Source organism: Homo sapiens, chromosome 5 (genome assembly GCF_000001405.40).
Source record: "Homo sapiens chromosome 5, GRCh38.p14 Primary Assembly".
In the NCBI taxonomy this organism is placed as follows: Eukaryota; Metazoa; Chordata; class Mammalia; order Primates; family Hominidae; genus Homo; species Homo sapiens.
The window spans coordinates 75,543,158-75,557,437 of NC_000005.10; the positions used below are offsets into that span (position 1 = coordinate 75,543,158).

At 36.3% G+C, this 14,280-nt stretch overlaps 1 protein-coding gene across 27 annotated transcripts in view; it reads left to right on the top strand.

Moving 5' to 3' along the window:
• The window catches only part of POLK (DNA polymerase kappa), a 99,218-nt gene that overhangs the window by 32,384 nt on the left and 52,554 nt on the right, over nucleotides 1–14,280 (top strand). For 20 of the 27 annotated variants that reach the window (NR_170560.3, NR_144315.3, XR_008485566.1 and 17 more), the window contains 2 exons: nucleotides 3,853–4,000; nucleotides 9,315–9,434. Coding sequence is in view for 19 of the 27 variants with exons in the window: in XM_054328411.1 (XP_054184386.1) it covers nucleotides 3,866–4,000; nucleotides 9,315–9,434 (255 nt within the window). In the remaining 8 variants the exon portion in view is untranslated. Of the gene's footprint in view, nucleotides 1–705; nucleotides 820–2,988; nucleotides 3,014–3,852; nucleotides 4,001–9,314; nucleotides 9,435–14,280 lie in introns of those variants that run through there. The other 7 variants (NR_170559.3, NM_001395900.1, NM_001395902.1 and 4 more) reach the window with 4 other exon arrangements.

Below are 14,280 nucleotides of genomic sequence, written 5' to 3' on the forward strand. Positions count from 1 at the left end.
TCAGCCTCCTGAGTAGCTGGGACTATAGGCATGTGCCACCACACCCAGCTAATTTTGTATTTTAAGTAGAGAGGGTTTCACCATTTTGGCCAGGTTGGTCTCAAACTCCTGATTTCAGGTGATCCACCCACCTCGGCCTCCCAAAGTGCTGGGATTGTAGGCATGAGTCACTGCTCCCAGCTGTGCCTTATATTTTTAACTAGTAACCTGAATAAATTCGGGGTGATTTTGAAAGCAGAGCTCACAGGATTTCCTGATAGTTTGGATGTGGGTGTATGAGAAAGAGAGGGGTCAACGATGACTCCTGGGTTATTTGCATGAGCAACTGGAATAGATTAGAGTTGCCCTCAATGGATACCAGGAAGGCCGTAAATGGAGCTGGTTGGAGGGGATGGAGGCAGATGAAAAGATTACTTTTGGACATGTTAAACTTGAAATGGCAAACAGGTATTTTGACTGGTGCTATAAACCTGTAAGTCATTGGCATGTAGATGATAGTCAACATATGCCTATGAAACTGGACAAAAGTTTCATGGTAATTAGGTATCAATAAGCAGGAAGGTAGCAAAAAACTAACTTTACCTATCTCACAATTTTGCCTTGTCCCAGGATTGCCCATAGCCCAATTCTTTTGATTCAAGCACCAAAACCAACTCTTAGAGTTTTTTGTTTGTTTGTTTGGTTTGGTTTTTTTGAGACAGGTTCTTGCTCTCTTGCCCAGGCTGGAGTGCAGTGGCATGACCATGGCCTACTGTAGCCTTGACCTCCCAGGCTCAAGTGAAACTCCCAACTCAGACTTCCAAGTAGCTTGGACTACAGGTGCGCATCACTACACCTGGCTAATTTTTTACTTTTATTTTTGTAGACATGAGTCTCACTGTGTTACCAGGGCTGGTGTTGAACTCCTGGGCTTAACCAATCCTCCTGCCTTGGCCTCACAAAGTGCTAAGATTACAGCCATGAGATGCTGCACCCGGCCTCTTCTCAAGAGTTTTTTGGCTAAGCAATTAATATATGTGAAGAGTAGGCATTCAATAATATGTCTTTTCCTTTTATACATTTCATCTTTTAAAGGGCAAGGCAGCCAGGAGTTGTGGCATGTGCCTTCAGTCTCAGCTATTTCGGAGGCTGAGGTGGGAGGATCACTCGAGCCCAGGAATTCAAGTCCAGCCTGGGCAACCCACCCCTGTCTCTAAAAAACAACAAGAGCCAGGTGTGGTGGCTCAGGCCTGTAATCTCAGCTCTTTGGGAGGCTGGGACAGATGGATCACTTGAGTAGTTTGAGACCAGCCTGGCTAACATGACGAAACCCCATCTTTACTAAAAATACAAAAATTAACCAGGCATGGTGGTGTGCACCTGTAGTTCAAGCTACTTGGGAGGCTGAGGCAGGAGAATCGCTTGAACCCAGGAGGCGGAGGTAGCAGTAAGCCGAGATCACACCACTGCACTCCAGCCTGGGTGACAGAGTGAGACTTTGTCTCTGAATGAATGAATGAATGAATGAATGAATATGAATAACAACAATGACAAACCCAGAAATATATGGGCAAGACAGCTTAAATGTAGGATGTTTGCATTTAGCCACTTCACTCTTTAGTAGTGAAGGTATGGTGAAATTATGACTGAATTACATTCACCTGCTTTACTAGACAATGACAGGTAATTGGATTAATGAAGCGTAAGGCAAAATATAGAGTAATTTTAGCTCAGTGTGATAGTCGAAGGGAAAAAAATTCAAATGATAACAAAAAACCAACCTATATTCCCCTGGGCACTACGAAATAACATCTATACCAGTGGTTCTTGTACTTTGGGACACATTGGAATTACCTGGGCATCTCTTTAAAATACTCCTATCTGGCTTCTACTCCCAGACCTTCTGATTTATTTGGTATGGGAGGAGCTTTGGCGTCACAGCTCTCCAGGTGGGCCTAATGTGCAGCAAAGTTTGAGAACTACCATGATGTATACTTTTTTTCCTAGTGAAACTACCACTAATAGTCACAGTATTCAGAGTCCCTTCCAAAATTCTTTTTATTCTTTGCTGGTGCCAAAAACAGAAGCAACATTGTTAAGGGAAGATCCTCAAGGCAGAGTGGAGTAAATGAGTGCCCTCTCTAAATCATACAAATAAGTCACAATCGTAATTTATTTTAGATTCATGACAGCTGTTCATCTGGCCACTTATTTATAGCATACATGATCCCCAAATTGGAGGCAACCGTAATGTCATGGAGTGCATCAGAGTTGAAGTAAAAAGGCTTGCATTCAAATCCCAATTCTTCCACTTACTAACAGTTATGATGGGCAATTCATTCAATCTTGCTGAAGTTCTCATTTTTTTCTCCCTAATATGAAAATAACCAGATCTGTTTTGCATGGTTGTAAATATCTTTAAAAGCTAATGTATGTGAAGATAAACTATAAAGTATATAAAGATATTAAATAATTATTATCTGAAAGGATTTTTCTTAACCTTAGAGATGACGTAACTTTCTAGGTTTTTTTTTCTGTATTTTTTCATTGCCTTAAGAAGGAGATCTGCATACAGTAGATAATAAATGCATTTGAACTTAACGTGTATAGTAGAGGAAGTATTATTTTGTATTTCTATACCATGTTTTAATCTGGGTAGAAACGTAAGTTTTCTACTCATGCCTGGGTTCCAACACATGTGTTGCCACTTGTTAGCAAATTTGTGTCAGTAGACATGTTCTAAGAGTCAGGTTTGTTATCTTTTTGTATGGCGAATAATATCTATCTTTCAGGGCTGTTATGGCCCTCACATGTAGTGCCGTAAGCATAGTAGCTAGAATGGAGCATGCAGAAAATGCTAATTCCTTTCTTCTCTCCAAGAATATCATAATCTTGTGATAGTACAGATGACCTTTGAACACCACAGGGGCTAGGGACCCTGCCCACACACAATCAAAAATTCACATATAATTTTTGACTCCTGAAGAACGTAACTACTAATAGCCTATTGTAAACTGGAAGCCTTACTAATAAGGTATACAGTTGATTAATATGTATTTTGTATGTTATATTTGTTCTGTACTGTATTTTTACAATAAAGAAAGCCAGAGAAAGGAAAATGTTATTAAGAAAATCATAAAGGAGACAAAATATATTTATTATTCATTAAGTGGAAGTAGATCATAAAGATCTTCATCTTGTCTTCATGTTGAATAAACTAAGGAGGAGAAAGCAGTGGGGTTGGTCTTTCTGTCTTGAGGGTGGCAGAAACGGAAGAAATTCAAATATAAGTGGATCCTCTCAGTTCAAACCCGTGTTGTCTAAGAGTCACCTGTAATTTTTAAAATCTGAGTAATAATTTTTAGTAGCTAAAAATTCTTAACTGTCATTTAAAAATTTTGTTTTGCTGATTTCTATATCATTTAACGTTTTAAAACTTTTTTATTGATGCATAACGGATGTACATGGTCCTCCTGCCCCACCCCACCCCCCACCCCCACAACATGTTTTTTGGAGTTTTTTCTGGTTTTTGTTTGTTTGTGTTTTGGAGACAAAGTCTCGCTCTGTCCCCCAGGCTGGAGTGCGGTAGCGCAATCTCGGCTCACTGCAACCTCTGCCTCCCGGGTTCAAGCAATTCTCCTGCCTCAGCCTCCCTAGTAGCTGGGACTACAGGCGCATGCCGTCATGCCTGGCTAATTTTTTTGTATTTTAGTAGAGACAGGGTTTCACCATGTTGCCCAGGCTGGTGTCGAACCCCTGAGCTCAGTCAATCTGCCCGCCTCGGCCTCCCAAAGTGCTAGGATTACGGGCATGAGCCACCACGCCTGGCCACAGATGGTTTTAAAAGCAGTGTTTATCTTTATGCTTTTTCAGATAAGTTTATACCATGGATAGCACAAAGGAGAAGTGTGACAGTTACAAAGATGATCTTCTGCTTAGGATGGGACTTAATGATAATAAAGCAGGAATGGAAGGATTAGATAAAGAGAAAATTAACAAAATTATAATGGAAGCCACGAAGGTATGTTTCTTGTTTCTTTTGATGTGTGTAATTTAATGACCTTTTAACTTTCTGTTTCAAAGAAAATCATTTGAATATCATTTGTATTTAATATTTCAATATTTTAATATATATTATTTTTAAACTACAAAAGGGTATGGAATAATCTCCCTTCTATTCTGTTGCTCCTACCATCCAGGTTTCTATTTCACATGCATATAATAGGCATTTAAAACCAAAATAATGTATATGTTCCTGTTCACCTTTTTTTTTAACCCCAGTGGGAGAAATTGTTTAGGTATTTGGATTTTTTTTTTTCAGTTAATATAACTTGGAGCTCTTTCTGTATAGGTAAATAAAGATCTTCATTCTTTGTATGCCTGTGTGTGTGGATATAATGTAATTTATTGAACCATCCAAAAAGTTTATGGATAAATATATGTCATTTGTAGTCTTTTATTTTTACAAACATTACTAGTGAAGTAGGGAATAACGTATTTTATAACTTTCTATATGTGCAAGTATAACTGTGGAAGAGATTCCTACAATGGAATTGTTTCACCAACTACACATAGCACAAAAGAATATATGCATGTGTGATTTTTATGAATTGCCAAATTACCCTCCATGGTGTTTCTATCAATTCACACTTCCACTACAAATATCTGAGAGTATGTATTACCATACTGAAACTGTGCCAACACAGTGTATTACTAAACTTTTGTATTTGGCAATCTGAGGTAATATAGTATAGCATTAATTTGTATTCCACTTATGAAAAATTAGTTTCATATCTTTTCTTTTTTTTGAGACAAGGTCTCACTCTGTCACCCAGGCCGGAGTCCAGTAGCACAATAATAGCTCGTTACAGCCTCACCCTGGTCTCAAGTGTTCCTCCCACCTCAGACTTTGAAGAGCTAGGACAATAGGCACATGCCACCAAGCCTGGCTAACTTTTTATTTTTTGTAGAGAGGCGGTCTCACTGTGTTGCCCAGGCTAGTCTTGATCTGCTGGCCTCAAGCAATCCCTCTACCTTAGCCTCCCAAAGTGCTGGGATTATAGGCATGAGCTACTGTGCCTGGAGCTCTTTTGATATTTTAAAAATTATTTGTATTTCATTTTTTATGAACTTTGATTATATATTCTGTATACATATGCACATTCAATAATTAGTTATCTTTTGACTTTGCTTATGGTAGTTTCTCCTGTTCAGAAATTTTTTGTTTGCTCCATTTTATGTAGTTGAATGTCAACTACATATGGCTTTCTTCAAGGTTATAAAAGAATTCTTTAATTTTTTTACCACTTTTTTGTTTCATTTATATATTATAGAATATATATGTATTAATGTGTTATGTGTATTAATGTATATCAATATTAATATACATTATATATACATGATATATAATGTATATTAGTATGTTGTATTATATGTTATGTATATTAATAAACACAATACATGTATTAATATACATGTAGAAAGATGTAAACTTTAAGAGAATATCCTTGTTCTTAGGAAATGCGTGGTGATGTCCACAGCAACTTACTTTAAAATGGTTTAGCCAAAAGGAGGGGAAAGTGTGTGTGTGTGTATGTATGTGTGTGTGTATACACTCATACTTCCCCAACATATATACATAGAAGTTGGGGAAGAAATCAAATGTAGCAGGATATTAATTGATGAATCTAGGTAAGGGTATATAGGTGTTCGTTGTACTATTTTTTCAGCTTTTGCAGATTTGAAAATTCCACGATAAAAAGTTAAGGAATTATTGTTAATTTCATTAGCTATGAAAATGTTACTGTGATGAAGTGGGAAAATGGCCTTATTTTTAAATGCATACCGAAATCTTCTGTGGAATGGCTAAATATCTTGATATTTATAATTTAAAATGTTTCACTTGTAATGAAGCATATACAGTAAAATGTTAACAGCTGTTAAATCTGAGTGATAGTTTTATATGTGTTTATTGTATTCATGTTTTTCCTGCGTTTTCCTGAGACTTTTTTGATATTTTCATCATAAAAATGTTCAAAAAGAATAAAACAAATAAAACCTATGAATCTAGTTCTTAGGTTAAGAAATAGAATATGTAGGTTACCCTAGATGTCCCTATCTATCTGATCCTCCCTCTCTATTCTCTGTGACCCAGTACAATTTATTAAATAGTCCATTCTTTTCCTACTGATCTGGTGTGCTTTCTCTTCTGTTCCACTGGATCATTTGCCTGTTTGTATGTAAACAACATGTTTTTTTATTATCATACTTTATAATAAGCCTTGATATCTGCTAGCACAATTTCTTTTTTTTTACACTTTGTTCTTTTTCAAGAATATCTTGAGTATTCTTGAAGCTTTGCTTTCATATAAATTTTATGTGATATATATCAAAAATATATAGGTGCATATATAATTGGCACATATCACATGATTGGTATATAAAAATACATAGAATAATATATATTCCTCTAGTGCATGAGGTGAGTTTATCATAAATGGTACCTTGTTTAAATTGGAATTTTCTAATTGTTACTATTCCATAGCAATACAATTTACTTTTTACTTTTTTAAAACTCTTATCAGAAAATTTAAAATATATAGAAAATTACAGAGAATAGTAAAGTAAATCCCCATATAATCATCACCCAGCATCAACAATTACCAACATTTTTGCAAATATAGTTATCTATCTTACCCTTCCCCTACTGATTTTTGGAGGGAGGAGTATTTTAAAACAAATTCCAATAAATTGGACACATTTCTAGAAGTTTACAATTTTTCAAAATGGACTCAAGAAGATACAGAGAATCTAAATAGACCTATATAATAAGGAAATAAATTAGTAATTAAAAATCTCCCCATCAAAGAAAAAAGACCAGGCCATTTGGCTTCTCTGGTGAGTTTTATCAAATATTTAAAGAAGAAATGATACCAATATTCCACAAGCTCTTCTAGAAAATAGAGAAGGATGGAACACTTCCCAACTCCTATGAGGCCAGTATCACCCTGATACCAAAGCCAAACACAAGGTTATACATCATTATGAATGCAAAAGTCCTCAACAAAATATTAGAGGACTGATTTAAACAATATAGCAAAGAGATTATGCACCATAACCAAATGGGATTTATCTTAGGAAAGCAAGGTTGGTTTAAGATCTAAAAATCGGCCAAGCTCATGCCTATGACCCCAGCACTTTGGGAGGCTGAGGTGGGTGGATCACCGGAGGTCAGGAGTTCAAGACCAGCCTGACCAATATGGTGAAACCCCGTCTCTACTAAAAATACAAAAATAAGCCAGGCGTGGTGGCATATGCCTGTAGTCCCAGCTACTCAGGAGGCTGAGACAGGAGAATTGCTTGAATCCTGGAGGTGGAGGTTGCAGTGAGCCAAGATTGCACCACTGCACTCCAGTCTGGGCAACAGAGCAAGACTCCTTCTCAGAAAAAGATAAAAAAAAGAGAGAGATCTGAAAATCAATTAATGTAATACATCATATTAAAATAAAGGGCAAAAAAACCACACGATCATCTTAGTAGACTCAGAAAAAGCATATTTGATAAAATCCCACCACTATTCATGCTAAAAGCTCTTAACAGACTTGAAATAGAAGGGTACTTCCTCAATCTAGTAAAGGGCATCTATAAAAAAGCCTACAGTGTACATCATACTTTATGGTGGAAGGCTGAACACTTTCTACCTAAAATGAGGAACAAGGCAAGAATGTCCACTCTCACCTTTTCTACTCAACATAGTCCTAACAGTTCTAACCAGTGCAGTCAGGCAATAAAAATAAATAAAAGGGCCAGGTACAGTGGCTCACACCTGTAATCCCAGCACTTTGGTAGGCTGAGATAGGAGGATCACTTGAGCCCAGGAGTTTGAGACCAGCCTGGGCAACATAGTGAGACCCTGTCTCTTAAAAACAAAACAAAACCCTTACGCCGTACACAAAATTAACTCAAAATAGACTTAAAGAGCCAAAACAATACAACTTTTAGAAGAAAATTTGAGAAAGCCTCTGAGACCTTCTGTTAGGCAGAAATTTCTTAGATGTGATACTAGAAGAACAATCAATAAAAGAAAGTTGATTAATTGGTCCTCATCAAAATTTAAAATGTTTACACTTCAGAAGACAGCAATAAAAATAAAAAGATAGGTCAGGTGAGCTGGCTCACACCTGTGATCCTAACACTTTGGAAGGCTGAGGTAGGAGGATCAGGAGTTTGAGACCAGCCTGGGCAACATAATGAGACCCCACCCCCCAACCTCTTAAAAAAAAAAGAAAAAGATAGCAATGTGCCTTGGGTAAAATATTTGTAAAACACATATGTGATAAAAGACTTATATCCAGAATATACAGAAAATGTCTACAACTCAATAAGACAAGCAACCGAATCAAAAAATGGTCAAAAGATGTGAATAGACATTTCAGTAAAGAAGATATACAAATGACTCTAGGCACATGAAAAGATGCTCAATATTATTAGTCATCAGGGAAATAAAAATTTAAAAACCACAAAGAGATGCCATTCATGCTACTATTGCTTAGAATAGCTATAATAAATAAGACACAGTAACAAATGTTGGCAAGAACGTGGAGAAATTGGAACCCTCCTACGTTGCTGATGGGATTTAAAATGGTTCAACCACTTTGGAAAACAGACTGGCATTTCCTCAAAAGGTTGAGTATAGAGGTACCATATGTCAAAGAAACCCTACTCCTAGTTACCTACCTGAGAGAAATGACAACATATGTCCACATGAAAACTTGTCCACAAATGTTTATGATAGCATTCTTCACTGTAGCCAAAAAGTGAAAATAAGCTAAATGTCTATCAACCAGATAAATGGATAGACACTATGTTCAGTGATGAAATGATGGGCAGTTTTTTGAATTATTTTCTACATTTTCTTTAATGACTTAACATTAAATATTTGAAAATACCTTGTAAGGAGTATTTTTTTAATGCAATAGATAACTGATGATCCAACCCACTAAGGCCTTTGATACCCACTGTGGATCCTACCTAGGACATACTGTTCTTTTCTGAATGCAAACCTGTATTCATCTCAGAGAGCTTGTGCTGTGCTAAGTACTGCTCACAACAATCCTGTGATTTAGTTAACTACTAATAAATTCATCTTACAAATAAAGAAACTGAGATGTAGAAAGATTAAATAATTTTAGGGTCACCTAGCTAGTAAGTAGTAGAGCTAAGTTTTAAATTTAATCTTCTGTTTCCTGAGTATGTGCTCTTAGCCACCAGGTTATACTACAGTGATGCTTTCCTTCAGACATTTTTCTTATGCTTTGTTTTGTTTTCCTCCATAGGGGTCCAGATTTTATGGAAATGAGCTCAAGAAAGAAAAGCAAGTCAACCAACGAATTGAAAATATGATGCAACAAAAAGCTCAAATCACCAGCCAACAGCTAAGAAAAGCACAATTACAGGTATTAATTAAATTGTTAAATAAAGTGGAAGCTGGTAGAATAGTAATTGACAGTTAAAATGTATTGTCAAGTCATAACTGAAAACAAGATGAAATGTAAATGTTCATTATATTGTAAAGCATACATATTCAGCAAATGAACATACTTTACTTTGCTAAGTGTTGCTCTGCTCATTTACATAAAGACTCCACACATAGACATTGTCACCTCTATTATACAGAAGAGTAAATGAAGTCTTAATTAAGTTGAGTAACTTGCCCAGCTTGATAGGACAGGTAGTTAGCAGAACTAGGATTTAATCCAAAGCCTATGTTCTTTTTATTGTATACATCGCAGCTAGAAAAGGCCACGGGATAAATGTGGAATGTTTTCTGCAATGCTGATTTTGCAAAAAAAATTTGAGGAATATGTTAACTAATTAAATTGGAGAGTAACTTAAAACATAATCATGTTATAGTAAAATAAAAAGTCACACTATAGATTAGAATGCCAAATGTACATGAACTTTTAAGACAAAACACAAGACTTCTAAAACCTTGGAAGGTTTTTGCCTTCTCCAGGATCTTTGGGAAGTAAATACTCCAAGTTTCCTCTTCTATTAAAAGTTATTTCAGGAGAAAAGTTTGGAAATATCCAAGTTGCAGGGCACTGTGTGGTAGACTGACAACTCAAAGCAGTCAAATTTCTGATAGTAAAACAAGTCATGGCAAGAGGAATTTGCTCTTTATCAAAATCTGATCCAATGTTAACAGAGCTCTATAGTCTATAAGGTAACAATAAAATTAGATTAATCTAATATGCTACAAAATCCTTCTCTTGTGACAGAGTTCAAAGATCATAAATTTTATGTTTTCTTTATCAAACTATACAATGTGTGATTTTTTGATACATATGCCTTCTCAGAGCACAAGATAATTTTTAAGTGGTCTTCTATTATGATGAAAGATGATTTATTTGTCATATCATCATTTTTAATGCTTCACAGCATTCCACTGTGTGGAGGTACCATAATTTATTTACCATATCCCACCTTGGTTTCAGTTTTTTATTTCATACGCAACCCTGTGATTATCATTCTTATCTTTGTACTCTAGTGCTGTTATTTTGACCAAAGATGGTATCATTTTACATTTTCAACATGAAAGTATTGATTTTCTCACATAGTTGTAAACCATTAATATTTCCTTATTATGAGAATTTCCTCTTTTATTCTGTTTGCGAGTATATACACTAAGTTGCTAGCACAAGAGACCAAAAATGTAATATTTTAAATAAGAGCTGCTTTCTTTCTCACATAATAAGTGAGTAGTTCTAGCTGGTGAGTGGCTGATTATCATTTAGAGACCCAGGTTCTTTAAATCATATTGTTCCATCATCCCCTGGTGTTATCCTTACCTGAATTAACAAAAGTGAATTATTTTCCATCCATATTCCATCTCCTGGTTAAGGAAGAAAGGGAAAATATTGAAGGCAAGTACAGTAATTTGCTATTAAACAAGTGAAAAAGAAGTTGCACACATTACTTCAGCTGACATTCTTTGGCAAGAATTTAAGTTACATGGCCACACCTAACTGCAGGAGAAGCTATAACTTTAGCTGGGTGCCATGTGCCCAGCTGAAAATCCATTACCATGGAAGGAAGGAAGAATAGATTTTGGGGTTCAAGCAGCAGCCTAAAGCAATGTTTTTTGCCCACATGTCTGGGGGAGTTTATATCTATTTATCTTGATTTATAAGGTCTTAATATATTAGAGATTTTTTCTTGCCATTTGTTATGAATACTTTTCCAATATATTGTCTTTTAATTTTGTAGTTTTTCCCATATAATTTTTAATGTTTATGTAATCAAATCCAGTGACTTTTTTAAAAAAAGATTATATATATATATATCTTCCTTTCCCTTCAAAATTTATTTTTTTTAACTTTTAAGTTCAGGGGTACATGTGTAGGTTTGTTATATAAATAAACTGGTGTCGTGGGGGTTTGTTGTACAGATTATTTTGTCACCCAGGCATTAAGCGTAGTACCACTCATTAGTTATTCTTCCTGATCCTCTCCCTCCTCCCATCCTCCACCCTCCAGTAGGCCCCAGTGTATGTTGTTCCCTTGTATGTGTCCATGTGGTTTCATGATTTAGCTCCCACTTATAAGTGAGAACATGCGGTATGTGGTTTCTGTTCCTTTGTTAGTTACTAGGGATAATGGCCTCCATCTCCATCCATGTCCCTGCAAAAGACATGATCTCATTCTTTTTTATTGCCACACAGTATTCCATGGTGTATATGTACACAATTTTCTTTATCCAGTCTATCATTGGTGAGCATATAGATTGATTCCATGTCTTTGCTGTTGTGAATAGTGCTGCAGTGAACAAACACAAGCCTGTATAAAAAGACCTTATTTTTCAAAGCAGTTTTAGGTTCACAGCAAAATTGAATAAAAGGTACAAAGATTTTCCATATACTCCTGTCTCCCCACAGGCATAGCCTCCCCTGCTATCACATCCCCCACCAGAGGGGTACATTTGTTACAGTTTATGAATCTACGTTGACACAACATTATCATCCAAAGTTGATAGTTTATATTAGGGTTCAATATTGGTGGTGTACATTCTGTGGGTTTAGACAAATGTACAGTGAGGTGCATCCACCATTATAGTATCAGACAGAGTAGTTTCCCTGCCCTAAAAAAATACTCTGTGCTCCATCTATTCATCCCTCCCTCCCCCACTAACCCCTGGCAATCACTGACCTTTTTACTATCTCCATAGTTTTCCCTTTTCCAGAATGTCATATATTAGAATCATACAGGATGTAGCCTTTTCAGACTGATTGTTTTTACTTATGCAGTGTAATGTAAATGTATGCATTTACATTTCCTTCATGTCTTTTCATGGCTTAATAGTTCATTTATTTTATGTACTGAATATTATTCAATTGTCTGGGTGTACCACAGACAATTTTTTTTTTTTTTGAGATGGAGTCTCTCTCACTTCGTTGCCCAGGCTGGAGTGCAGTGGTGCAATTTTGGCTCACTGCAACCTCCACCTCCCGGGTTCAAGCTATTCTCCCTCGGCCTCCCGAGTAGCTGGGATAACCAGTGCCCACCACCATGCCCAGCTAATTTTTGCATTTTTTAGTAGAGACGGGGTTTCACCATGTTGGCCAATCTGGTCTGAAACTCCTGGCCTCATGTCATCCGCCTGCCTCAGCCTTCCAAAGTTCTGGGATTACAGGCGTGAGCCATACCACAGACAATTGAATAATATTCAGCACATAAAATAATTGAGCTATCAAGCTATTTGTCCATTTACCTACTAAAGTTTACTTTGGTTGCTTCTAAGTTTTGGGAATTATGAATAAAGCTGCTGTAAATATCCATGGCCAGGCTTATGTGTAGACATAAGTTTTCAACTCCTTTAGGTAAATACTAAGGAGCGCAATTGCTGGATAATATGGTAAAATAAAAATATGTTTAGCTTTATAAGAAACTGCCAAACTGTCTTCCAAAGCGACCATACCATTTTGTCTTCCCACCAACAATGAATGAGGATTCCTGTTGCTAAATATCATTGCCCTCATTTGGTGTTGTCAGTATTGTGAATTTTGGCTATTCTAATATGTGTATAGTGGTATCTCATTGTTGTTTTAATTTGCATTTCCCTGATGACATATGATGTGGAGCATCTTTTCATGTGCTTATTTGCCATCTGTATATGTTCTTTGTTGAGGTGTCTGTTAAGGTCCTTGACCATTTATAATCAAGCTGTTTGCTTTCTTATTTTTGGTTTTTAAGAGTTCTTCGTGTATTTTGGGCAACAGACCTGTATCAGATATGTCTTTTGCAAATATTGTTTCCCAACCTGTGGCTTTTCTTTTTATTCTATTGACAGTATCTTTCACAGAGCAGAAATTTTTAATTTTAATGAAGTCTAGTTTATCAATTCTTTCTTTCATGGATTGTGCCTTTGGTATTGTATCTAAATAGTCATCATCAAATCCAAGTCCATCTAGATTTTCTCTTATGTTATCTTCTAGGAATTTTATAGTTTTGCATTTTACAGTTAGGTCTGTGATTCATTTGAGTTCATTTTTGTGGAGGAAATAACTTCATCTTTTTTTCTTTTTTTTTTTTTTAACATGAGGATATCCAATTGTTCCAGCACAATTTGTTAAAAAACTCTTTTCTTGCTAGGTGTGGCGGCTCACGCCTGTAATCCCAGCACTTTGGGAGACCAAGGTGGGAAGATCGCTTGAGCCCAGGGGTTCAGGACCAGCCTAGGCAACATAGCGAGACCCTGCTTCTACAAAAAATAGAAAAAATTAACTCGGGGTGGTGGCACAGGCCCATGGTCCTAGCTATTTGGGAGGCTGAGGTGGGAAGATTGTTTGGGCCTGGGAGGTGGAGGTGGCAGTGAGCTGTGATTGCACCACTGCACTCCAGCCTGGGCAACAGAATGAGACTCTGTCTCAAGAAAAGAAAAAAAAGAAAGAAACTCTTCTCCATTTTATTGAGTCATTGCTCCTTTGTCAAAGACCAATTGTCTGTATTTATGTGAGTCTATTTCTGGGCTCTGTATTCTGTTTCATTGATCTATTTGTCTATTCTTTTGCCAATACCACACTCTCTTAATTACTGTAACTTTATAGTAAGTCTTGAAGTCAAGTAGTTTCAGTCCTTCAGTTTTGTTCTTCTTCTACAATATTTTGTTGGCTAATTGGATCTTTTGCCTCTCCATATAAATTTTAGACTCAGTTTGTTGACATCCACAAAATAGCTTGCTGGGATTTTGACTAGGATTGCATTGAGTGTATAGATGAAGTTGGGAAGAACTGGCATTTGATAA